The following is a 27,405-nucleotide window of genomic DNA, read 5'->3' as shown; positions in this document are numbered from 1 at the left end:
CTTGCCTGCTCCTACTATGCTGTTAACTCTTTGGGAACAGATGCCACGTCTTACTTCTCTTTGTATCTCTGGGCCCTGAATCATATCTGACATGTAGTATGTGCTTAATAAATACCTGATTGTGTAAATTGAAATGAAAAATTGTTTGATTTGTGCAGTTCCCTGTCTGTCTGGTTTGGTCTGTTTTGATAACTGACACACGTTAACTCTGTGTACATAGGGCAATGACCTATGTACAGTTTTAATCTAGATTGCAAGTATTTTGTTGTCTTTTATATCCCCATGTGAGCCTTTATTCTTACCACTATTCCGTCTAATCCTGTTAGAATTAGCTAACAATTTCAGCCATTTAAACTCTTTGTGAATGTCAGTTAGTTCTTCTGGTACATTAATTCTCCTTTCCAGATAAAGGCATTTTGTATCTTGATAAGTATACACTGTATAGTTTCATTAAACCTTTGATAAAAATATTGGACAGAACAGAGGTAATATCAGAACCCTGTGACATACACTGGAGATCTCAGTCCAAGGAGACATTGATTTATTATTCACTACTCTTGGTGTTTGCTACAAATCTATCTTAGGCTGTCTTGTTTGCAGGGAGATTTTGAGAGATTTTGATAAACGCCTTTGTTAAAATAAAGATGTGATGCATGCATCACATCCCCTTTTCTATTAAATTATGAGGTTAATCAGTGAACCCCCTTTTTGTGAACCCATATTATCTCCCAGAATCAGAACTTCTTTTCTCTGTGATCACACGTAGAATACGCTAGAAGCTTTCGTTAGCATTTTGTCTCAAGCTTACTTGTCTGTAATTTGGAGAATTCACTCTCCATCTTTTTAGATATTTTAAAAATATTCCTAACTCCAGATTCAGGGTGATTTCTTAAAGCTTAGATTCACCAATGTTAGGTTCCAGGTAAGGGACTTTCACAGCATTATGTCATTACTGCGGGGACTCCTCATTCAGCAATTTATTTTATATTTTGGGATCTAATTGAATTCACTTCATACACCAGGCATTCTTGTGTGTACGTTTTTAAGCTTCTGATGCATGAACGATATCTTGTGCAAGCGTGTTTTTTCTATAACCCCACAGATGGAATTAGGTGCATTAGGGCCTGTTATTAAATTTAAGCCAACCGTCAGAAGTCTCTCTATTCTGCATGTCTGTCTTACAGAAGTATTTTTTCAGATTTTGACTAAGTTCAAGAAATAACATGGATAACGCTTGGACATTTTCAGATATGACACATATGAACCACAAAGGTGATTCATGCCTACCATTTTATACTGTTTTTGGAAGGAGAAAGGAATATATGTTAAATACCTGATAAGAGTATAGGTAACATAGTAATAATGCCATCTTTAATGATGCTTTTCAGTTTTTGAATGGTTGAATAATAAATACTTTGCAAAAATAAGCCTTTTTTTTTCTTTTTAAAGAAATGGTGCTATTATTTGTGATCCAAATTTATTATCTAAATTTTAGGATCCATGGGAGTAGTCAAATTTATCAAGGATTTGGCTTGTTAGATGTCTTGCCTTTCTCACTATTGCCATTTTTACCATTTACACTGTGAGATGCATTCTTGTACATTCACTCTAACATCTTTTATATGTATATGTACATATGTATGTATTTGTATATATACTTATGTATATATAGTTTATATATATTTTATACAAACTTTTCTTGTTACTTCTTTATGGAAAATTCCTGGAAGTGGAATTTTCAGTCAAAAGTGCATACCTTTTAAAGCCTCCAATGCATGTTGCCAACCAAGAGACCTTCCAACTTGGACACCTACCGATCAGATGTGAGATTGCCTGTTTTCTCTCATCCTTGTCAGTGGTGTGAATGAATTTTAAATGAATGGTTTAGTGTGGAAAGCTCAGCCTGCTGAAGTGGAATGCAGTGTAAAATCAGTCTCAGAGGGGTGGACTCTTAGGGAACTGCATCCAAGTTCTCCAAGGACCTGGACTTGGTCTTGACCTTCCTTAACAATTATCCCATCCCAAGCTTTCTGACTTCAAGCAGCTCTGCTGCCTCGTGTGTGTTTCTATACAGGAATGGCATGCTGGTCTCCCCGCTTTGTTGGACCTATGAGTTCTCTAGTTCACTGCCTATTCCTTTTTCCCTCTGGATGGGCAATTTCCCACCAGGCTCCTGTATTGAGGATGCTGGGGTGTGTGCAGACTCATGAGTCTGCCAACATACAGCTGAGTCAAATCTTGCATCAGAGCCCTGGAGTTGGATCCAATTCAACAATTTAGTTTTCTAGGCTTAGTTAAGACTCTGATTACTTCAGTGGGAGTGAAAATGGAGTTTATTAGTAACTATGACATTTGCATTCATATGTCCAAATAAATCTTGAGATGTTTAAAATTCTGTAGGTTAAAGCTGTGCATGAATTACGTCAATTATTTAGAATACGCGTATGTCATCTCTAAAGCTGACTTTTTCATTCTTAGTTGTTTTGGCAAAGAAGAGCTGTTTCTATAAGAGAAGCAGATCAAAGGCCTGAGAATTGAAGACCTGGGATTGCTGTTTTGGTAAAATTGACTAGAATACAGACAACTGTAGGCAGCACCACTTAGGGTATCAGTGCTCCCTGGAAAGAACCATACCTTGTGCAAGTGTATTTTTTCTGTAACCCCACAGAATCAATTGGGTGTATTATGTCCTGTTATTAAATTTAAGGCAACCTTCAGAAGTCTGTCTATTCTGCATTTCTGTCTCATGAAAGTATTTTTTTAAGATGTTGAGCAATTGGTTTTCTTTCCCTTTGTGGTTCTCTTTTAATTGCTTTGTCACAGTCTTAGAAATCAGGTACTGAGATCTGTGGGAATTTATGTTAAAAACATTTAATACACATTGTGGAACATGATGCTTTTGCTCATCTTTTCATTTCAGCTGCAGCTGGTAATAGCCTGTAGGTTCCCTAAAGCTTCCTTTGTGGGGTGGTAATTAGGTGATGCTTCCAGCTGCATAATCTAGAAACCTGGTTCCTGGTGGCACCATGGGTGAGAGAACACATTCATGCTTCATTTGTCCCAACTGTGACTATAATCGTAGTTTCATGGTTTCTGTTCATCTCCGGTGTATGTGGCTCTGACCCATGGCCCTTTGGACTTCCCTTTCAACACTCAGTTGCTTGGGAAGAGCCAGCAGTGAAAATAAGAATATTAAGGGGGCATATTTGCATTAGCCATGGAGTGATGGAAAAACAGGCTCAGCACCTGTTTGCTTGCCTTCTCAGTGAGACCAAAGTTCCCTGAAATAATATTGTATTGTATATGCATGGATTTCTGCACATGGGACAATTCTGAAATAGGAAAAATGTGATACATACCCAAGGCTAAAAAATAACCCAATGTTGGGAATCATTTAAAAATCATTAATCTAATAGCTTATCTTTTTAAATGATGGATTCCGTCTGTGTTCCTTGTGTTTATGTTGAGTTTGTAGCTAATGCAGTTTTTTTCTTTTTTCTTTTGTTTTACAGGCTAAACATATTTTTGACTGGTATGAACCCATTCTACTTTCATGCAGTAAATATAATTTTACACTGCTTAGTGACTCTTGTGCTGATGTACACCTGTGATAAAACTGTCTTCAAGAATCGTGGACTTGCTTTTGTAACGGCATTGCTTTTTGCTGTACATCCTATTCATACTGAGGCGGTAAGTGTAATTGGATCTCAGTGAAATAACGAATATGAATGTGTGTATGTATACGTGTATACGTGTATACACACACATATATATACATGTAAATATGTGTGTATATGTAGATATGTGTGTGTATATAGATATATACATGTAAACTAAGCTGATCTTTTTTCCTTTTCAAAAACATATGAGTTCACTCTATTAAAGTGTTTATGTTTATATATAAAGCATTTTGGTTGACAACTTTTCCTTTTGAATGTTCAAATTGGTTTTCTTGCACCTCCTGGATTTAACTGCTTTTCTAAATAACTGCTGTTATTATTACGGGTAGTAATGAATGGCCACAGTTTGTTCAGTTTTGTATTTGCAGATAATTTAAGTCCTAATGTGTTTTAAGCAGCAAGGGCCATTCGAGACACTTACCATGCTGAGTCATTGTTCCTGCTCCACATTTGTATTTTATCTTTTCTCACCCTGCTATATTTTATAATGTTTATTACGCAGAACTGTAAGTGCTGGGGAAGAACTATAAAAAATTAGACTGACATTCTTCAAGTTAGAAAGACAGACTTAGGAGCCTTACATACTGTTTCCCAAGTTACTTAATAGGAAGGGTAGTTATTGTGTGGGTGATGAAAAATTTATTTAAAAAGTATTGGCTGGGTGTGGTGGCTCACGCCTGTAATCCCAGCACTTTGGGAGGCTGAGACAGGCAGATCACTTGAAGTCAGAAGTTCAAGACCAGCCTGGCCAATGTGGTGAATCCCCATGTCTACTAAAATTACAAAAAAACTTAGCCAGGTGCAGTGGCGGGTGCCTGTAATTCCAGCTACTTGGGAGGCTGAGGCAGGAGAATCACTTGAACCCAGGAGGTGGAGGTTGCAGTGAGCCAAGATTGCACCATTGTACTCCAGCCTGGGCAACAGAGTGAGACTCTATCTCAAAAAAAAAAAAAGTATTGATAGCTATGGCCCTTTTTAAAATATTTATTTAATCATTCCATGAATCAGATGGCATTTTTAAGCTGCTTTGTTTCCCAGCTCAGTAAATACAACTGGTTTGTTTGATGTGCATGGCTAGGGGTAGATGAAAACTTGATGAGAGGTCCATGGGCACCACAGTTTTACAAGACTCTTTTCCAGAGTTTCAGCTTGCATCTCTTTGGACGCTTCCCTGAAGCTGATCTGCCTGAGTACACACCTGCAGTAAAGATGTCATGGTGGTTTCCTTCTCCCTCCTCCATTTCTCAGTTGCCCTCTGCTCATTTTAACAAAGTTAAGGAATACCTTGTGTACACCAGCATCTTACTATGCCCCAGGTGTACAAGCCTCTGAGGTACCTTACAAAGGAATAGTCTGATATATCAGTGTCAGCAAGGCATTCTCCAATTAAGGCATCACAAACCCAAAGGAGGGCTTCACATCTCTCCCTGTCTAACACGTATCTCTATGAAGAATATAACATGGCCTTAGAAGTAAGGTATGGTGGCCTGTGTTGCTGTTCTAAATTCAGAAGTGACATAGTTGTCATGGGGATGCATAATAGTATGTTTATTTGAATGGACACAAGAAGTCTGATCTGACCAGTTGGTTTGATGATGAGGACTGGTTTGCCAGTTAGGCTCTACGATGGGCATTTTCCACCAACAAAATTCTAAATCTGTAAGCTCAAAGTTTTGACAAAAATATATTTTGATTGGGTGATGAAGAAAGATCACTTTATAAAAAAATTACACTGTGAAAGGTCATTTTCCCAACTCTTTGTGAGTATTTTAGACTGAGCAAGGTGCCTTTAAGTGGATGAGTATGAGGCATAAGTAATAGTCCTTTGGTGAGTCTCAGTAAAGCTTTTCTGCTGTACTTAAAAGAAATTGTGACAGTAAATGACTGTAATGACAGGTAACTCTAATGATGGCTATGTTTAAATTCTTTGCTTTCAACCAAATTAAAGGAGGACTTGATTGCACTGTCTGTTGGTAGATCATTAAAAATTATGTAAGGTGATAGATCATTATGTGATATTTGCCAATAACTTGGAGTTCAAAGAATAAAGTCATTGCTGTAACAGGTCTACTTCCATTTTCACTTATTTATGTGAACATCCTATGAAGATGAAAGCTAGGAATAGTTGGTACCTGCTGTCATAGTCTAACAAAAGGTAAGATTCAGCCACAGACAACTGAACTTACTGAAAATAAATCTGTTATACCTAGATTATTAAGAGGTGATTTTTTATATTTATTAATTATTTATCATTTTCTGTTTTATTTATGATATATCAAGTATCTGTGAATTAATAATTGGAATAGTAATACAAAATTTAAATTTTAACACTTAGAGGCTTATGGTCAAAAGAAATTTGAAATATAGATTTAATTGTATATTTTTTATTATAGGGAGAAGGATGATAAATACAATAGTTTTAAGCATAACTATGTAATTTACAAAAATGAGGGGGAAATACAATGAAAGTATGAGTTCAAGGAGAAAGGGTATGAAGTGTCTACCAATTAAAGAAGAGCCTATTCATGTTTAGGTAAATGGAAGATGATGAGCTTCAAGTTGCTGTAGTGTTCAAATGACATTTGGTAAATTTAATACAGGAACATTATGGCCTCATTTTGAAATGTCGATATCTACAATGCATAGGAAGTTAGATCCTTTCAAGTATTTAAAATTATGATGAAAAATTTTTGATATGAATTGAAAAAAATAAGAGAGATACTTAAGTTTTTAATGTTCTTTTTGGATAAAATATGAAGAAAAATAATCAAAGACTACTACTACTAGACATATAGAATATGTGATGCTGGGCCAATGGCATGTTTTACTATAAAACCATAGACAGCATTTTATTTCTGACAAATAATTCTTCTTGTACAATTGGAAATCTGTGCTTAGAGCATATTGGGGACAATTACTGCGTGAAAGAACAAATGAGTAGGGCAATAACAGTTTCAATTCAGAGGTATCAGAGAGAGAGTGCATAAAACACAGGCAGCCTGTGGCAGTATGATCAGGAACTGGTTAAGGTTGGTTCCTAAGAAAAGAGGAAAATCCTATTAGCAAAATGACCTTAAAAAAAGTTGCAGCGAGCTTTTGTACTAATTGAAAAAAATCCATAGTAACACAGTGAAAGGGACAGAGGAGTCTTAGAGCTGGGTAGTTATTTAGGGAAGGATGTTAGGGAGGATGCTTACATTCATAAGGTTCTGAGGGAAGTCTAAGAAGGAGGCAGAGAAATTTAGCCTACAAAACAATTTACATGACAAAGTAAAATTGGGGGACTTATTATTTAGTCATGGATTTCAATTCAAGTTTCTAAGTAGGAGGAGGACAGAGAAATAGAAAAAGAGATGTACTTTCCAGAAGATATAGAGATAAATTATTAATATTACTATTTGAGACAGGGTCTGACCCTGTAGCCCAGACTGGGATGCAATGGCATGATCATAGCTTACTGCAACCCCCATCTCCTGGGCTCAAGCAATCCTCCCACCTCAGTCTCCCCAGTAGCTATGACATTAATGGAACTCATTCTTGCAGATAAAATAAATATCAATAGCCTTATACATATAGTATACTTTATACAAATATTATTGGTGGTATTCCAAAGACAGGTTTCTATAGCAAATTAACTCCTAATTTGAAATTTCTGCCTGTGATATTGTTAACCTTGCTAGAAGATCTGAGGATCTGCTGTTACATTATTTGAATTCTATCCAATTATGTTCACTGATGTTTCTCCTTCCAGTGTTTGAATATTTGTTAGAGGCTGCAGTTCCCAGGTTATAGCCACCATGTTGGTAATGGAAACCTGTAGTTTGAGGCTAAAATACATGCTGGCCATTTGCATATATTTTTCACTAACCATGAACTGACCAGTTGCTTTTGTACTTTCCAGCATCCTACAATTCAGCCTACATTGTCATAAAATCAACTGGCTCCAGTTTAATGTTCCATCTTTGCTTCCCATTGCCCCTCCTCACTTCTTTATTTACTCCATGCTCTTCATCACCTTAGGTCTCCCCTTCCAGAAGCACACCATGTATCTCCAGACCTCTCTTTCTCTGCCATTCTTGTATCCTCCACCTGGAAAGCATTTTTGTTCCTTCCTAGGCCTAGGCTGAGCATTCCCTCACCTTGAGCTTCCTCTCGCCTTGAGCTTCCTGAAATCCTCCTTGTCTATGTTTAAGTCACAGTTTACATGGCCAGACCTGTGAAGCCTTCCTAGATCCTACAGTAAAAATTAATCTCTTCAGTCTTCTCTTGGTAATGGTTTCTCCTCTTATGATGCATGCAGTTTCCTTGTGTGCTATTTAATACCCTCTTTTGACTCCCCACCAGATGTTAAACTCCTTGAGGCTGATTATATGTTTCCAACTGGCACAGGATGTAGCTAAGAGGAAGCACTTGGAAAATGTTTGTTAACTGGAGTTAAACACACACTTACTGAACATGACAATACTGACTAGTTGAATCACAATGAATGGCTGGTCTAGACATACAGTAGTTAATGACTATTATAGCACCTGTTTTTAGATATCTAGGCTTTTGCCCCAAATACCTCAGTTCAACAGGGGTATAGAATAGGTGTTCAGTGCATGCTTAGTGGTTTGGACTGGCAAGAGAGCCTATCAGTGTTACACGAATATTTGAACACCCTCTTTGAGCTTCTCCTGCAAGGGACACTACATTCTTTATATCTGGGCACATCCAGCTGGCACAGTCTGCTGTTGTCTCTTCCAAACTGGCTGCAATGCAAGAAGCCAGGCTGCAGGACGCCTTTAACACATTAGTTAAGCTTGTCTAGCTTGTGATTGCCTCATTCCAACTTGCTACACCCAGTAACAGCTTGCAAGTCTTGCTGTTGGCTACATCAGTTGTGCTGTGATGAGTGCCCTTCTCGGTCCAGATGCTTAGGCTTATCTCAAGACTGTTGCTAGAGAGCTAGGCTCTCTGTTTAACCTTCAGGAAGACTTGCAGGTGATGCTGAGCTAAATGTTCAAGGAGGTGGTAGTGTAGTCTGAGCAGATCTGGGCTTACAGGTGACCTGTATACACTTCGGCTTTACAGCCTGTGAGACTGAGCTGAACCTTGACATTGTGGCGACACCACACTGTCACTGCATTCGTCTCTTGAGTCATGCAGTCTTCCTGATTTGGTACTCAAGTTCCTTATAGATTAATGAATCAATGAACAGCATGTGGTACAAGCAGCCACGTCAGGTAATAGCTTTCAGCTCTGTATTGCCAATGGTATTCTTTGGCCATGTCCAGGTTTCTCTTAATGCAAGAAGGACTGGAATTTTTCTCAATATGTGACTTGCTGTCAGTCCATCTGTGTGTGTATAATTGAGTTATGTTTTATGTAGATTTTAACTAACAGATACATTAGATTATCTAATAAAGTTCACAATTAAGATACCGTACGTGTAAACCTTAAAGTAAAAAGATGATTTCTATAAGCCACACAGGAAAACCTATCTCAGTGTTAAGAGTTCCACCCCCTTTCTCTGAAAAAAAGAAAAAAGAAAGGGGGAGAAAGAAGTGCACCAGCATTTATCCAGCAGGCCCTTTATGTATATATCATCTCATGAATTACAACCACCCTGAGGGAGTGGGTGTTACATGGATTTTAAACATAACAAAACCAAATCTCAGATGGCAAGAGCAGTCTACATTCAGACCTTGAATGGTTTACCTCCATGCTTATTTTGTTTTTAAGTTTTTGAGACAGGTTCTTCCTCTGTCGCCCAGGCTGGGGCGCAGTGATGTGATCTCGGCTCACTGCAGCCTCTACCTCCTGGGCTCAAGCAATCCACTCACCTCAGCCTCCCGAGTAGCTGGGACCACAGGTGCACACCCGGCTAGGCATTTGTATTTTTGGTAGAGACAGGGTTTCTCCTTGTTGCCCAGGCTGGTCTTGAACTCCTGAGCTCAAGGGATCTGTCCACCTCGGTCTCCCAAAGTGCTGGGATGACAGGTGTGACATGAGCCACTGCGTCCGACCACCTCCATGCTTATTCACTGCTTCTCCTTCATGACTGCAAAGCGTGCTCATTGCATCAGGATGCTTATAGGTATATTTCCCAGAAAACTATTTCCTACTATTAATTGTTGATGGATTCTTTAACACACCATAGACCTCGGGTCTTCTGTGACGTGGGTGATACTATTCCTGTGCCTGAAATGTCAGCCCAGTTCATCTCCCTTTTGAGCTGTTCCTCATCATTCAGCTCTTATGGTACCTGTTCTTTGGAGCATTTTTAAAAAGCTATATCCCATTTTTTCCCTTGACTCTCTTATTTCTTGGATTAAAAAAAAAACGAGAAATGCATGGATATGTAGCAAAATAGTGTGAAGATTTGTAAAGAGTCATCTGTTTCCCATCCCTCTTCCATTTCAATCTTCTTCTGAAGTAATGCATTATTTGAAATAATTTCAAACTTAAAAAATATGGAGAATAACTGTATACTTTCTATCCAGAGTCACTAATTTTTCACATTTTCTCACATTTGTTTTATCACCTTCCTCTCTTTCTCTCTCAATATATAAAAATCTTATTTATTTTCTGAAGCATTTGACAGTAGGTTGCACAATTCATACTCCTTTATACTTTAATAATTTAGTTGTACATTTTTGAAAGCTGAAAGCATTAGTCATTTCTCTTCAGTTTTCATTAGTCTCCTTTAGTATGAAACAGTTACCAGTCTTCATTGTCTTTCTATAATATAATTTATAGATTATAATATAATTTAGAATTTATATTAGAACATGTAAAATAAGAAAACATGTTATATTGCAATATATGGTTTAATATATTCTATAACTGTAATATAAACATATAATACTTATTAATATGTTATACAATTTATAACATATACTACATATAATTTATAGATAGAGCATATTATATAAAAAATACATAATATATAAATAATATATGATATATAGTATATATATGCAAATGCAGAATGAATAATAAATATAGAAAATATAATATATGCATATCATATATGTAATACATTATACATATAGTATATAATAAATACAGTATTATAATTGATTATAATGAGTTATATAATTATGAATCATGGTATAATATACATTAGAATAAATTAATATGCAATAAAATGTAACGCTACAAAATATTGCTACACATAAAATTTATAATTTGTTAGCGTAATATATATTCATTTATATTTTTATCAAATGTTCCTCATATTGAGTTTGATGTTTTCTCATGATTATATTCAGGTTATACGTCCCTGCTAGAATACTGCATAAATGATGGTTATGATGGTTCCTTCTCAGGAATGGTGATTTTAATTTGATTCCACAGTTAAGACGTAGTGCAATATAATGCATTTTTTCCATAGTGTTCTTTTTAAGTTTTTTCATTTAATAATTAGTAAATAGACACTTTGAAGTCCTACTAATACTTTGCACCTCAAAAACTTTCATGCCCTAGGTTTAGCATCCATTGATATTTTTGATATTTCTTGCTTGCTCCAGTCTTCACTCTTCTGGAAGCAAAATGGTTATTTCCCAACTCCTCTGCTCCCTCCACATTCATTAACTGGCTTTTTAATGAAGGAAGAGGTCTCCTTTCTTTCCCATTCACTTGCTTGCTGTATATATGTATGTACATTTATATGTATCCATTCATTCATTTATGTATATACAATTATGCATTGCTTAACAATGGGGACATGTTCTGAGAATGAGTGGTTAGGTGATTTTGTCATTGTGCAAACATCATAGAGTATACTTATACAAACCTAGATGCTATGGCCTATTGCTCTTAGGCTACCGTACTGAATACTGTAGGCAACTGTAACACAATGGTAAGTATTTGTGTATCTAAACATATCAAACATAGAAAATATACAATAGAAATATGGTATTATAATCTTGTGGGACCACCATCATATATGTGGCTCGTTGTTGACCTGAAAGTTGTTATTGAATGCATAGCTGTATTTATTATTAGTATGGACTCATGGATTTCATTTTCAATGGTTTATAATATATTATTGTACCATTTATTTTAATATTCAAATTGCCTTAAGTTTGTTCGGTGGGATCCCATTGTCCTGGCTTCTATGACCTTTTGACTGTCATTTTATAAGCATTTTCTTACTTTCTGACACGAGATGATCCAAGCTCCTCTTGGATTTCCCCAGCCTCAGCCCTGGTGTCAGCCAGTTTTCCAAGGAGCTGGTGTTCTCTTTCGTGGGGAAATGGTTTGTGGTTAGTGCCAAGATGGCCCTTTGCTACTGAGGTTTTATATTTATAGGCCCTTTCAGTGATAGAGCTAAGAAAAATATGCACACATGCACATACACATATACTCACATATAGCAATCATGAGTTCAAACTCATTCCCTTTCCTGTTTATTTTTTTATTTTTTGAGACAGGGTCCACTCTGTCACCCAGGCTGAGTGCAGTGGCACGATCACAGCTCACTGCAGCATTGACCTCCAGGGCTCAAGCAGTCCTCCCACCTCAGCCTCCTGAGTAACTGGAACTACAGGCATGTGCCACCATGCGTGGCTAATTTTTGTATATTTTTGTAGACACAGGGTTTTGCCATGTTGTCCAGGCTGGTCTTGAACTCGTTAACTCAAGTGTTCCGCCAGCCTCGGCCTTCCAAAGTGCTGAGATTACAGATGTGAGCCATCCTGCCCGGCCCCATTCTTGTTAAAAGTATTGATTCTCAACTTACTTTTTTCTAGTTCTCTAAAAATATTGTCTGCTCCATTAGCAGCATGGTACACAGAAGGACACAGTGTCTGACTCTCAAGTATTGCTCAAAAATTTTTTTGAATAAGTTAATACATGAATAAATTTTGATGCCGTGAATTGACGCTCTGAGAGCTTAAAAATAAAGTGTGGAAATCTTGCCCCTTCCGTCCATCCTCTTTTTTCCTTACATAAACTCGTTATTAAATATATATGATAATCAGAGGTGCTTAGCCATATATCAGAACTTGAAGAACAGTGAGATTTCTATTTTATTATATCTTCCATTTATCTAACAACAAATACATTTCTGTAATGGATTTGTGTAATAGTTTTCTGAAAGTAATTGTCTGAAGTTTCATTTTTTATTATTTTAACTTCCAAGGTGGCTGGGATCGTTGGCAGAGCGGACGTGTTAGCGTGTCTGCTGTTTCTATTGGCCTTTCTCTCGTACAACAGGTATGTGTAGCTAAGAATGCCCTTCTCTGTGATCGCAACTGTGCCGTGTGTGTAGACTGGGAGCATGTGCCTGAGAGGAGAGAAGCTTCTGGTTGTGAAATGCTAAGCAAGATTTCCAGGGACCAGGAATAGGAAACTCTCTGCTTGTCCAGTGCTGGGCCGTTTTCTCTTCCAACCCCATTCTGAACCACACTGTAGCACCTTAAAGGGATTGCTTTCCCAGTGTTGGGAACCCAAGCACTTGCTTTATCATTCCTTTTACTTGTAGTTTCTTACTGAGAAGTGAATTTGGAATCTTCGCTCTAAGCCAAAATGTATTTGATGCAATGTTCTCTTTTATTTGCCTATAATTTGCTTAATTTTTCCTTTTCATTTTGTTCCTAATACTTTTTCTCTTAGCCTCACCAAAGTAACTCAGAGCTTAAAATGACAAAGCTGAGTATAAAGTAGCATTTCTCGACTGTGGTTTTCCAATTTACATATAGTTTCATCAAAAGACAGAAGTTTTTTGCATTGGGAAACTGAAAAGCCTTAAAATAATTTCCCATTATATTACACCTTTACCCTAAACCAATCAGATTCTCATCTGAGTCATGTCATGTCCATATAGAGAAAGGAGTGGATTAAAAAGAGAATGTGAATGGGGGCAGCTCAGAGCATGTCCTGTGATATGGTTTGGCTGTGTCTCCACCCAAATCTCATCTTGAATTGTAACTCCCAAATCTCATCTTGAATTGTAACTCCCACAATTTCCATGTGTCGTGGAAGGAACCTAGTGGGAGGTAGTTGAATCATGGGGGTGGATCTTTCCTGTGCTGCTCTCATGATAGTGAATAAGTCTCACGAGATCTGATGGTTTTAAAAATGGGAGATTCCCTGCACAAGCTCTCTTTGCCTGCCGCCATCCATGTAAGATGTGACTTGCTTCTCCTTGCCTTCCACCATGATTTTGAGGCCTCCCCAGCCATGTGGAACTGTGAGTTCAATAAACCTCTTTCTTTTGTAAGTGGCCCAGTCTCAGGTATGTCTTTATCAGCAGCGTGAAAACAGACTAATACAACCTGGAAAAGGGGGGCAAGTCAACCATGTTGCCCAGTTTCATGGAGAGATGCCTGATTAAGCATTTGGTGGCCCTGATCTTTGGATCAGTTCATTGACCTATAGTCTTACAAAGCCCAGTGACTGAGGAACACTGTTCTAAACCAGTGGCTCTTAATTAGGGGTGATTTTCCTCCTCGTCCTAGCCACTACCTCCTCTACCTGCAGGAGACATTTGGCAATATCTGCATACGTTTTTGGTTGTCACAACTGAAGTGGTGTTCATGGCATCTAGTGGGTAGAAGCCAAAGATGTTGCAGAAGAGACATTCTGCAATGCACAGGACAGTCCCTACAACAAAGAATTATCTGGCAGAAAATGCCAGTGGGGCTATGATTGAGAAACCTGTTACAAACCAATCTAGACCTTGTGTCAATAATGAAATGAATTAAGTCTTAGGAAGTTTTGTTTTGTTTAAAGGGTGGAACATTTTCTTAGCATAGTGTAAGTCTTCTGCTCCTGGCTTTGTAACTTCCTACTGCATTCTTGATCATATGATGTGGTGTTATGAAATCTGAAAATATAAGCCAAAATTTAACAATTAATTGTTTCTTGTTCATTCTGGCATTAGAATAGAAGTAATAATTGCTTTGGAGTTTAAACTTGTTCTCTAGGCCTGTTCTTTGTGGTTAATATATTTGGGGGCATGATTAGGCCTGCAGTGTATCCATATCTGTATGATAATGAGCCATGTTATTACAGATTGGTTTTGCATGCCATTCTCACTTTCAGAAATTTGAGCTATAGACCAACTCAATAGAAAAAAATGCCTCTCTACTGCAAATTCTGCATATAATGTTATGCAATTGTTCTAAGAACACTAAGGAGAAGGTGTCTCAACTACAGAAACATTGGCCTTTACTTCAATGGAATAGGAGCCAATAGGTGTGGTACCTGTTGAAGGGAACAGTGATGTCTCTTGGTAGGGGGCCCGCTCTGTTTTACAAGGTGAAACAAAAGCTTAACAGCACCGGAGAGATTTTGAAAATCCTTGTTGGAAATTAAACTGAGAAAAAAATAAACTTTACCTAAGATATGCTCATAGAAAATGAATTTAAATATTTTGGCTAAATGAATTTAGCCAAAAGAAAAAAAGGTTAAAATAGTTGTATTTTCATCCCAGAGAGAAATGCTTATTATATTTTGGCATATATATCCACTGGCAACTTTGTTTTATGTATGGAAGCATATAAAACACTTCACTACCATAATGATGATGGTGATACACACTTGATGTGTGACAAGTCATTCGTTTAATCCCCCCTACAACGCTATAATCCCTTTTCACACATAAGGGAACTGAAGCACCAAGAAGTAAAGCAACTTGCCCCATATTATCCTGTTAATTGACGGCTGTGGTTAGCAGGGAACCCAGGGAACCTGGCCCCTGAGCTTATGCATATAGTTTAGTAACTCGATTATTCACTTAGAATGTATTCACTTAAACATCTTTTCATATGACTAAGTATGTCTCTCTGGTAGAATTTTAAATGGCTTTTTGGTGTTCATTTGTTTGTTACATACCGTAGTCTGTGTATATTGCAATTTAAGTACAAAATTCAGTATTGTGGGGATGAAGGCTCTTTAAGAAATCTCTACTTACCTGCTTAATTACTTAGAATGCAATGAAATTGACATTAGATCTTATCTTTAAGAGGTGGCATTTCTTAGCAGACCATATTCTTTCTTAGATTAAAAGAATCTCCAACTTGTTTTTCAGGAGTCTGGATCAGGGCTGTGTTGGGGGAAGTTTCCCTTCCACGGTGTCTCCCTTCTTCTTGCTGCTCAGTTTGTTTCTGGGGACCTGTGCGATGCTGGTGAAAGAGACAGGCATCACGGTGTTTGGAGTGTGCTTGGTTTATGACCTCTTTTCCCTTTCCAACAAGCAAGACAAGTCGTAAGTCATTTTACAGTTTTGATATCAAATGGCATGTCATGGGCAGAGAAAAATTACTTAATAGTTTCCAAACTTCCATTTAAAAAATATAACACTTTATTAAATGTCATCTCACCTTAGACTGTCACGTAATCAACAAGGCTTATTTCATTAAGATAAGCGCATTATATATGTTCAAATGCTTCACACTTTTGTATAAATCAGTGAGGACTATGAAGTTTTTGTGAGCCCCAGATTTGGAATTGAAAAGTATCTGTGTTAATTGCAAGTTTATATTGCTGGTTTGTTTTGGTTGCATGCTGCTGAGAAAATCTTGATTCATAAAAATAGTGATTGCAAATGGTAACAGTTTTTCACAGCTTGCTTTGAATCCCTGCATTTGCATGAGTGTTATCCATCAAAGAGCCCCTTTTCCTGCTCTTCTAATGATGCTGTTACCTAAGAGTTTTAGGAGGCACCCATTGGAATTCCACAAAGAGCCAGTCTACACCATACAGGAGTACGTACACGTCATATTCAAATTAATGAACAAGCTTATTTAGTAGCCTAATTTATTTAAAAAATTTAAGGCACACTCATTTTATGTTGTGGCTTATAGATGATAAGAATCACTAAGGCATATTAAAAGTTCAAGCACATACTATAATTTTCTTCCCCATCAAATCCATAATTACCAGTAATTTTACAAGCAGGCCCCATTTTTCAGTAATTATAAGGTCCTTACTTTTAAACTTTTAAAAGATGTGGCTAATTTATTCCCCTGCCGTATCAAATGAAGAATTTTATCTGAAAAAACAATCCTGCTTTTTAAATCCCATTTCCTACCTCTTTATACTTCTTGACATAAAGATAAGAGCAGTGATATTGAGTGGCAACACGCTGAGATGAGTCAGGAAATTCTGATCACCTTCCTGCCTGGAAGTGTGATAGTTGGGGATAATTTAAAAAGAGTGTAGTGCTCTGTTGGCTCTCGGTAAATCTCAGAGGCTTGTAAAAACTTGGAGCCAAATAATCACTTTGACCCAAACTCGTGCCAAGAAAACCGTGAGCCAGAGGCCCTCCCTTTGGCCTATGTGAGGTTGCCTTTCCTCCGTATCCTCTGACCAGTGGGAGTAATTGCATTGCCCATCTTACTTTTTAGGGAACAACCTGTAAACCCCTTTTCCACTTTCTTCTTGCATCTACCTTGTCTCAACCTCCTAATGTCTTTCTGCTATGCCTCACTGACAGCAAAAAGATAAGACAGCTGACTGCAGATGCGTTCTCTCACGTGGTCCAGTCCAGAGCTATTTTAATGTTGTCATGAAAGTCATGTCTCCTCTGATCTTGGGACTCTCCAGCCCACTGGTGCCTACACCTCTTTCTTTCTTCTTCATGTAGTCACTGTTGAGCCAGGCCTTTTTCAAAAGGGATACTTGTCTCTTTTTTTCTTTACCTTCATCATACTAAATGGCTAGAAATTCTTTGGGAGGATTAATACTGCTGATACAAGTCCCGCAGCTCAGTCTGGGTCTTTTTTTTTTTTTTTTTTAAAGAAACTTTTAGGCTGGGCGTGGTGGCTCACGCCTGTAATCCCAGCACTTTGGGAGGCCAAGGCCGGCAGATCATGAGATCAGGAGATAGAGACCATCCTAGCCAACATGGTAAAACCCCATCTCTACTAAAAATACAAAAATTAGCTGGGCATGGTGGCATGTGCCTGTAATCCCAGCTACTCGGGAGGCTGAGGAAGGAGAATTGCTTGAACCAGGGAGTCGGACATTGCAGTGAGCCAAGACTGCGCTACTGCACTCCAGCCTGGTGACAGAGGGAGACTCAGTCTCAAAACAAAAAGAAAAAGAAACTTCTGGCTTTCATATCCGGTAGTGCTGCTTAAGTGGAGGCATTCATTCTTTTCTTCATGCTTTTGTCCACCCGTTCAACACATACTCATTCTGCCTAGCCAAGAGCAAGACAAATATGGTTCCTTCCCGCAAAGAGCATCTAAGATGTTGGTGGAGACAGACATTATGTAAGTAATTTGACGAGTGATTGATTACAGTTGTAAAAAGTGGTAGGAAGGAACCAGAGGATGTAACACGGAGACCTGGCCAAAGATGGGTGATATCACCTAAGGGCGGGCCCTGTGCTAGGCACTGTGCCATGCCATTTGCTTGCAACAATCTTTATCCTCATTTTACAAAGGAGAAAACAGAGGCACAGAAAGTATCCTCCCCACAGTCAGCCAGCCCAAGAGGAGCCAAGATTTGAACCCATGTCCGCGTGGCTCCAGATTCACAGGGTTAGCCCGGAGCACCATTGCTTCCAGGGAGGAACATATGACAGGGACTCAGGAGACCTCGCAGGACGTCTGCTGCTCAGGCACCATGACAGTTACACAGCTCAAAGGTTCTGAGTATCTGGGGGGTCGTGGACTCTTGAGAATTTCACAAAGTTATGTCCCCAGAGGAATGCACATATACACAGAGTTTTACACAAGCACCTAGGGGTCTACTCCCCAGTCCCTACTTTATCTGCTAATTTAGAATAAACATCTTAGCACTAGGTGGTTCTTGAGATCTTTCATCGTATGATTCAGGAAGCAGGAAAGAAACAGTAATAGAAACAAAATGTTGCAAGTACTTTCCTACAAGTGCAGTTTATTCCTAAATTTTAAGATTGGCCCCACATGGATGGAATGAGATTTCTTCTATTTGACATCATCTTTAGGAGGAAAGATTTTCAGTACAAAATCAGCTCCTGAAAATTATCTTTCTTTTTTAAAAATTCAGGATATAATTTCCAACATCTAGAAAATAACATTCTCTGTCCACAGTCCTTATCCTCTCTCTCCAGAGGGAATCACAATCCTGAATTTGGCACTTTTCATTTCCATGATAGTTTCTAGGACTTTACTTCATATACACACATGCTAGTGAATAGCAAAAGTGTTATTTTACATACTTTCAAACTTTACATAAATGGTATCACTTGCTTTTTTTTTTCATTTACCATTGGGCTTTTGAGATATATCAGTGTTGATATATGTAGCTGTATTTCATTTATCTTAACTGCTGTATAGTATTTAATTATCATTATCCATTTTTCTGGGTTTGGAATTTAGTTTATTTCTACATTTTTGCTATTATAAACTAAGCTGCAGTGAAATTTCTGTGCATATATTCTTGTGCAAATACGTGAAGGTTTCTTTCAGGCGTAGCCATGGAAGTGTAGTTGCTGGGCAAAGGATAGATGCACGTTAACTGCATTACATCCCGAGACATTGCTCCTGAAATGGTTCTAGCAGGAATGAGAATCCTCTTTGTTTCACTTTCTGATCATCCCTTGGTAGTATCAGATGTTTAAATTTTTGCCCATCTAGTGGGTTATGTGAGTTACTCACATAACTGAGTGGTTTCTCAGAGAATTCATAACAGAAAAAAATGTAATTAATTGGATGGTTCAGCTATGAGCAATATCTTACAAGATTATAATAATGTAAATCCTTAATACCACTGCAACCAAATATTCTGAGAGAAACCTATTTGGAGGGTGAGGGGTGAAGAAGTGTGTGTTTGAGTGTGTGTGTGTGTGTGTGTGTTGGTGGCCATCTAACAAAGACTGAGTTACAGTGTTCTATACTAGGTCAATACGATAAGGTCTAAAATTGAAAAAACATTCATAATTATGTTGTTTTAATAATATGGCAGTAAATATCAGAAACACAAGGGCTAAAGACTTGAGAATGGTTGTTTCCAGGAAGCAAGACTTGTGGGTGGGGCAGTTTACTGCTATCGGTTGTTGTAAGCCTTGTCATTCTGGTTGACTTTGTTTTCCCTCAATTCCATGCACAACAGGAGCAATGGGGCCCTCTGTCCACGCAGCCCACAGCAGCCCGGGAGCCCCCAGCCCTCCTCACTGCCAGGCCATCCTCACCGGGAGAATGGGAAGCAGCAGCGGTTCCCTCACAAAGGAGCTTGGGGTGGCTGCCACTCTCCACTGCCACCAGAACCCAAGAGCAGTGGATTCCCAGTGTCCCCACGAGCTGTGTGGTCCATGATGAGGTACTGGGCTGGGTTTCTTGGTCCCTGCATGTTTTCAATGTCCAGCATCACCTAGTGCAGCCTGGGATGCCTGGGGAAGTGAAGCACTGAGTCAGCACACTGTGACCTCCCTCTCTTCATGCTTCCCTCCTTACCCCCTTCTTCCTGTCCCTATTTCCCTCCCTTCCTTCCCTATATTCTAATGGATAAGAAAGGAGTAGTTAGAGGAAGCAAGTGGAAGCCCTGCTGCCTGCCTGTGATGGGGTGTGGGTCCCTGCAGCCTCAGGCATCAGAAGATGGGCGCCCTACGTTTCCTGGGGGAGGAGAACGTTCTCCCTCCCCTTCTCCTGCCTCTCTCTCTCTGCTCTTTGTGTTTGATCTGAATTTATTACAGTCCAAATATGGGAGGAAACCCAGAGGACTCTTCCTTTCTGAAATGTTTTTGAAGATGTATGAAAATCTTTACAGCACATGACTGTCTTTATTTTCTTCCTTTTTTGTGATATTTTGACCTAGCTGTGAAAATTAGCATGGATTTATCAGCACAGGTGTTGCTCCCTAAATTAGGCTGTCTCTAAAATGTTTCAGGCCACAGACAAGTCAGAATATAACAGATATATGTTAAAAGATAAACTGAGGCACATTAAAAAGCTAAAGAGTTTATTTGAGCAGACAGTGAATAATGAATTGGGCAGCTCCAGACTGCCAGTGCTTTGGGGCTCCCCTGCTGGGACAGGGTGTGGGGAAGCTTTTATAGGGCAAACGCAGAAACAGAGCAAAGGAAATATTTGATTGGTTAAAGGGGAGTAGTAGCCCTATGTGGATCATTCCAGTGGAAAGTCCCTAGTTAGAGGTTAGTTAGTGGTTAAGCTTGGTTTCATTTTACCATTTACACTGAGTTGAGTTTCTCTGCTGATGTAGGGATGCAGGGTGCCAGAGTCACCTTAGCCTAATGACCTCTCAATTAGTTTAACATATGGAAATTCCATTCATAAGATTAGCACTTTACCACTTCAGATTGCTGTTGTTACTCTTCTGTGTAGTCCCTTAAAACTCCCTCTTTCTGCAGTCTTTGTTTCCAGTTATTCTTGCCTTTGCCTATGTTTGTTTTTTTATCTTGCCCCATTCATTCATTCTTTTGTTCATTCATCAATAAATATCTGTTGAGGGGCTGACAAGTGCCAGGCATGTTCTAGGCACCAGGAGTGTCCTGGTAAATAAGAAAGACAAGGTCCTTGCTCTTGTGTAGCTTTTCTTCTAGTAGAGGAAGGTAGACAATAAATAATCAACACTGACTGAACAATGTGAGTGCTCAGAAGAGAGTTAGGCAGGGTGTGATGGAGAGTGATGGCTTAGCCTGGGGGCATTTGGGTTGGTTGGCCAGGGAAGGCTTCCAAATCCTCCTGAATGAGGTGAATTGCCAGTGAAGATGTGCAGGGATCTGGCAGAGGGTTCCAGGCTTGAGGATCATAGCAAATTGGGAGGAGAAGGGGTGAGGGCAAGGAGGGGGCAGGGCACAGGTGAAGGGCTGTGCTGGCTGTGGAAGCAGGTTTGGATTTTATTCTGAGGGGAATGGGAAGATACTGGAGTTTGTGTGTGTGTGTGTGTGTGTGTGTGTGTGTGTATAGACAGTTATGATAACATTTCTTTTAAAAACGTTCCCTCTGGCCTCTTCGTGGTGCAGGCTGTTGGGGGCAATCATGAAGGAGGGAAAAGGGTTAGGAGGCTTTCACACAAGCTGAGTGAGGGAAAGGGGGTCTTAGCTGAGAGTCATGGAAACTGCAATGAAGAGATGAGGTGGATTTGAGATACATTTCTGATACAGACCCAATAGGACTCGCTAATTAATGTTTGTGATGATGGGGAGAGGGAAAGGAAGGAAACAAGGATTTCCAAGTTTCTGGCTTAACCAGGTGGGTGGATGGTGGCATTAGTTACTAAGTGGAAAAATTAGGGGAGTAATAGATTTTCTGGGGGTTGGGGAGAGAATAAAATCATAATAATGCATGAAATTCCCAAGGAAAAGGGAAGAGGAATAAAGGGTTAAAACACTGAGAAAATCTGGACATTTTTGTTGAGGGCCATGGAGGGAAAGAAGGTGAAACAATTGGGGAAATCGTGAATTTTTTAAATGGAGGCTAAAGGAGTACAGAGATCACTGGAGATGTTTAAGGTGGGACAGAAGCTAGGCTGCCATGTGACTATGAACTTGGTTAGGGCAGGTTCATGCCAGGGTGTCTCATAGATGTGTTGCCAGCTCCTGTCACAGTGTCTGGCCGATAACAGCTGCTTAAATATTTGTGACATGGATCAGTTGATGAGTGGATGATAAGAAAGTGTTGGAAATTAAGCATAGATGGAACATTTTCAATAAATTTGCCAATGAAGAAATGGGGAAAAGGTTGTTAGTGGGAGGAATGTTCATTTTTCTTTTCAGACGTGTGTGTGTGTGTGTATCCTTAGATAACCTGTAGAGAGGAGAGATGAATGATGCTGGAGCAGAAAGGGTAGGAAGAAATATGAATTCCTCTGGTATGCTGCTAATTGTTTAATAACTGGCTCTCCAAAGAACGGGACTCCTGATTTGTAGTGTTTGCTAATGTAAATACTCCCACTGTGGCTGATTGCAAGCTACGAGTGTGACTTCACTGACCATGGAGTTGTGAGAGCTGTCATAGTCCGCCATGATGCCATGTTTCTACCAGACGGATGCAATAGACATAAATAACCTCAAAAGCATAGATAATAGCAAAGTGAAGCAAAAAGCCAACTCAAGAGTAGTGAGCTTTGAATATGTACTACCTTGTTTAAAATATGACATATTTAATTTTAAGTTTATTTACTTGAATTTTTAATAATGGCTGTTTTTTAAGTAAGCGACTTGTAAAATTCCTAAAACTTTGTCAGCTCTTCCAAACCAGTGTCAGCCAGTTCCAGCACACCAGTGAGAAGGTCCCTCAGTAGGGGGAAGAAAACTTTCTATTATCCAACTACTATGTACCAGAAAGGGGGCTAGCATGTCCCATGTGTTATTCTATCCAACCACTGTGGTATCACTTTTAGGGTAGATGTTGTAACTCCCATTGCTATGAAGAAACTGAGGCTTAGAGGTTAAAAAACCTTGTCCAAGTTCACATAGTAAGTGGTAGGGTCAGGATTGGAACCCAGACTGTTTGACTCCTAAACTTGTGCTTTGACCATTTACTGTGCTCTAAAGCCCAGAGTCCAGAGCGAGGGCTAAGCTTTGGGGAAGAGGCAGGGTGCTTGTTTGATTTCTATGTGGAGCTGGCCTCTCCATTGAACTCTCAGCAGGTACAAAGATTCTTGTAGTCATCTCGGGTTCCACAAATGAGACACCTCTTGACTTGCTTCAGTATGGGGTATTGGTGCTAATACATTGAGCTAGGTGACATGCTTTGTAGATTACTTTTTCATCTTTTTAACCTCAGGTAGCAGGCTATTTTAGAAAGAGTGATGATTGGAGAGCAGCAGATAGCACAGCTGGAATTGGGCCGGATTCTCACTAAGTTAATGTATTTATGGTCCCGGACCATCTTCCCCCAATGGAAAGTTGTCATATATGTTTTCTCTTTGGAAAACAAAAAACAAAAAACAGTGTCATACCTTTGAGTATATATTTGATTACTGTTACAATTACTTTTGAAAATTGTGCTTGTACTTTTGTCAGAAGGTGATCAGGTAAAGCAAATAAAAGTTGGAAGAGGCAACGTTATCATAGTTCTTAAGATCTCTGACTCTGCAGACAGAGTGTTTAAATCATGGCTCTATCACTTACTTGATCCCAGACGAGTTATTTGATCTCTGTGAGCCTCAGTTTTCTCATCTCTCAAAGGGTGAAATGCTGGTTGTCAGGACTAAAAGCATTTGTACATGTATAAGCATGTAATTGGTGCCTGGCATACCATGGCCACTCAGCACATGGAAGCCAGCAGCGTCATTATTATTAGTTTAGTATTCTGAATATTATTTTCCCCGTATGGGTTTCTGAACACCAGGATGCATTATGAAAATGCTGAACCTGCAATATGCAGGCAAGGAATGAGTTTGTGTGCGATTTTTTTGTTGTTGTTCAACTTCAAAACTATTAGGACATAGTCATATGGGATGCATTGGTGTGAGGTTGACAAGAATTGGGCCAAATGTTATCAGGCAAAATATTGTTTTCAGAAGTTATCTAATACAGGGAAAAATCTAAGCCCAGGAAAAAATCCTACTGCAGGTCATTTATTTAGTTTGCCTATTTTTATGTGACTTACTGATTGACTTATGGGTAGAAAGTATAATGAAAAGCCTAGAGTTGAGAGTACCTACTCTAGAATCAGATTACATTTTAGTTGATGCTTCTTTTACTGAATTATTCCATGGGAAATGAGAAATGTTTTGTGTGTAAACATCCCCCAACATCTTAAATACATCAAATTCAGGCACACAGGGAAACACTTTCCCTTTCACATTACAAAGCCCAGTGAATTCTAAATGAAATCTTATCTTCATTCCATATATATATCAAGTATATACACACCTATATATGTATACTCATTCTTCATATATACTTGATTGGTTTCATATTTAAATGACAATGACCACAATAGGCATTGAAGACAGTTCTTGGCTCAATAAATTCTTGGACATTTCCTCTTTCCTCTGCTACCCTTCAGGGTATATTATGGATCATTCATTCATTGAATACTGTTTACTGAGCACCTACTATGTGTCAGGCACTATTTTTGGTGCTGGAAATATGGCAGTGAAAGAAACAAAGTCCTATCCTTATAAAACTTTATGGGATGATGATCATGATATTTCTACATAAAACGAACTCCTTTTCTACTTCTGTGGGCGAGATAATGGTTAGATTTTCATTTCAGTGGCTCTTAAAAGTTTTTTCCTGTAAATACCTTGCACATAGGTGTACAAATAAAAAAACTAAAACAAGTTTAGGACTAGAGAACAGTTTGGCACTAAAGTGAATTATAAGGTAATTAAATTCAAGAGACATAGGGAGGCATATAAATATTTTGACCTTCAATGATAAAATGGGTAGCTGATCTTTTAAGTGTCATTTTTATGTTTTATTGCTGTAGACCTTTCATCGTACTCTTTTTCCCCAAAGTAAGAAATGCTGTGCAAATTAAACTCCTGAGGTAGGCTTTTGAACTTTTATGTCACACGTTATGATTCTATGAGTAGGGAAAATGTGTTCCAGATTATTAACAGCCTCGTACCATCTTTGAGAGAAACCTAGTGAGCTAGTGATATGAGATTTGCAGGTGACAGAACAAATCTATGTTGAAAGCCTGTATTATTGATGAATAATAACTGGGTTCTCTTTCTCCCCTTTATACATCATATTCATTGATTGATCTCAGATGAGCCATTTTCAGTCTCATTCAGCTGCTGCTTTCAAAAATGAAATGACTGAATAAGAGGTGTGGAGTTAACTAATGGGTCCACACAGAAAATACATGTAACAGTTAAAAGTGAAGTTTCTAGGTTCATATTTTTTTAATAAATCCCACATCCCTCATTTTAAAATCTCTTAAAATATAAACCTCAGTGATGCACGTTAGAAACACAAACCACCTCGTGGAAGCAGATATGAACCAATATCTTACTTTAAAGGGTTGTTGCAAATTTTTAATTGCTGCTAATAGCTTTTTCCTTGCTTCCCTTGCTTTGTGTATAAATAAGCTGGTCCACATTTCACTATGGAATTCTCTCTTCAATGGCATGCATAGTTAAGTCTTTAGATGTAGTTTTTAGGTGACCGTATTCAGATCACTGTGAGTTATTTCCAGGAGGTAGGAGCATGATAGTGGTAGACCCAAGAAAGCAATAACTTTTAGGCTGAACTATATAATGACACTGACCAAACTAACCAGTATAATTAAAGTTACGTATTGTTAAACAACTTTATAACTGTTTATACTCAGGGTCCTGTCGTTCAGACACAGTACCCAAATTATATCTTTCCTAATCTTTATCCATATGCATTGCTGAGCTTTTTCCCTTCTTCAGCTTCTTTCTTTTTTTTTTTTTTTTTTTTTGATTGAGTCTCGCTCTGTTGCTCAGGCTGGAGTACAGTGATGTTATCTCGACTCACTGCAACCTCTGCCTTCTGGGTTCAAGTGATTCTCCTGCCTCAGCCTCCCGAGTAGCTGGGATTACAGGTGTGCCACCATGCCTGGCTAATTTTTGTATTTTTAGTAGAGACAGGGTTTCACCATGTTGGCCGGGTTGGTCTTGAACTCTTGACCTTGGGTGATCTGCCCGCCTTGGCCTCCCAAAGTGCTGGAATTAAAGTCGTGAGCCACTGCTCCTGGCCTAGTTTCTTTTTAATGTAGTGAATTGACCATCGTTTTTGCTAAGACCCTGTGCCCTTTGGTGTTCTGGGACTACAGGCACACTTGGTGAATGTTAGGGCACTGCAGAAGGGAGGTGGTTGATTACTGCAGGCAAATGACCTCCTATAGAGAAGGAAACAGTTTATTGAAAAGGGTAAATGAATGGCGGTGTTTTGCTATAGGTGTGACAGAAATGGCAGGAAATGTGTTTTAAAAAATAAAAAAAATTAAAGTTGGGCACTGTGGCTCATGCCTGTAACTCCAGCACTTTGGGAGGCTGAGGTGGGAGGATCGCTTAAGTCCAAGAGTTTGTGGCTGTAGTGAGCCATGATCACACCACTGCACTCCAGCCTGGATGACAAAGCAGGACTCTGCCTCTAAAAAGAAAAAAAAAAGTTAAGTACAAAACTTATTTTCAAAAATAAACTTTGTCAGTTAGTGTTAAAAGGCTTTTTAATTATGAACTGTGTTTATTGGAATAGTGTCATTACTGTGCCTTTAATGTTCTTTGGTGGGTTACTTACTCAAGCTGGTTTCCCAGGTCTCATTAAAGTAGCTTTTTTTCAAATATAGAACTTGCCAGAAAAGTGTTTTCTTTGATGGCTAGAGAATTTGAAGAAAGATTTTTGATTTTTCTGTTACTGTTTCTTAACCATTAATTGAGAAGGATCTTATCCCTTTTTAACCAGACCCAGAGTATGTGGTAAAGCAGGAAGTACCTTTATGAGTTCATCTGAAAGCTTCTTGGAACTCCACATTGGTTCCTGAACTGAGCTCAGCACTAAAGTGGATCATTTCAACAACGTGCTTATTGGCTTCATTCAAAAGTTAGCACTAAAAGCTTCTTCTAAATAAATCACATGCTAAGGAGGCAAAAATTCCTTTTAATTTATGGGTAGCAGTTGATAGTTTCTTTTATTTTATTATACTTTAAGTTTTAGGGTACATGTGTACAATGTGCAGGTTTGTTACATGTGTATACATGTGCCATGTTGGTGTGCTGCACCCATTAACTCATCATTTAGCAGTTGATAGTTTCTAACTGCTGACAGTCCCTGGTTCATTCTGCTTCATCTTGATTGGGTATCGGTTCTTGGCAATATTTGATCCCCTGTGAATTTCAGTCAGTAGATGATAAG

At 38.7% G+C, this 27,405-nt stretch overlaps 1 protein-coding gene across 9 annotated transcripts in view; it reads left to right on the top strand.

Moving 5' to 3' along the window:
• Nucleotides 1-27,405, top strand: part of TMTC1 (transmembrane O-mannosyltransferase targeting cadherins 1) — a 283,947-nt gene that overhangs the window by 13,172 nt on the left and 243,370 nt on the right. For 7 of the 9 annotated variants that reach the window (NM_175861.3, XM_047429634.1, XM_017020003.2 and 4 more), the window contains exons 2-5: nt 3,513-3,690; nt 12,811-12,884; nt 15,703-15,879; nt 19,716-19,922. In NM_175861.3, coding sequence (NP_787057.2) covers nt 3,535-3,690; nt 12,811-12,884; nt 15,703-15,879; nt 19,716-19,922 — 614 coding nt within the window. In that variant the 5' untranslated portion in view covers nt 3,513-3,534. The remainder of the gene's footprint in view (nt 1-3,512; nt 3,691-12,810; nt 12,885-15,702; nt 15,880-19,715; nt 19,923-27,405) is intronic. The other 2 variants (XM_017020005.2, XM_017020004.2) reach the window with 1 other exon arrangement.

This window comes from Homo sapiens, chromosome 12, assembly GCF_000001405.40.
Source record: "Homo sapiens chromosome 12, GRCh38.p14 Primary Assembly".
NCBI lineage: Eukaryota > Metazoa > Chordata > Mammalia > Primates > Hominidae > Homo > Homo sapiens.
This window is presented reverse-complemented; position numbering and strand designations above follow the sequence as displayed.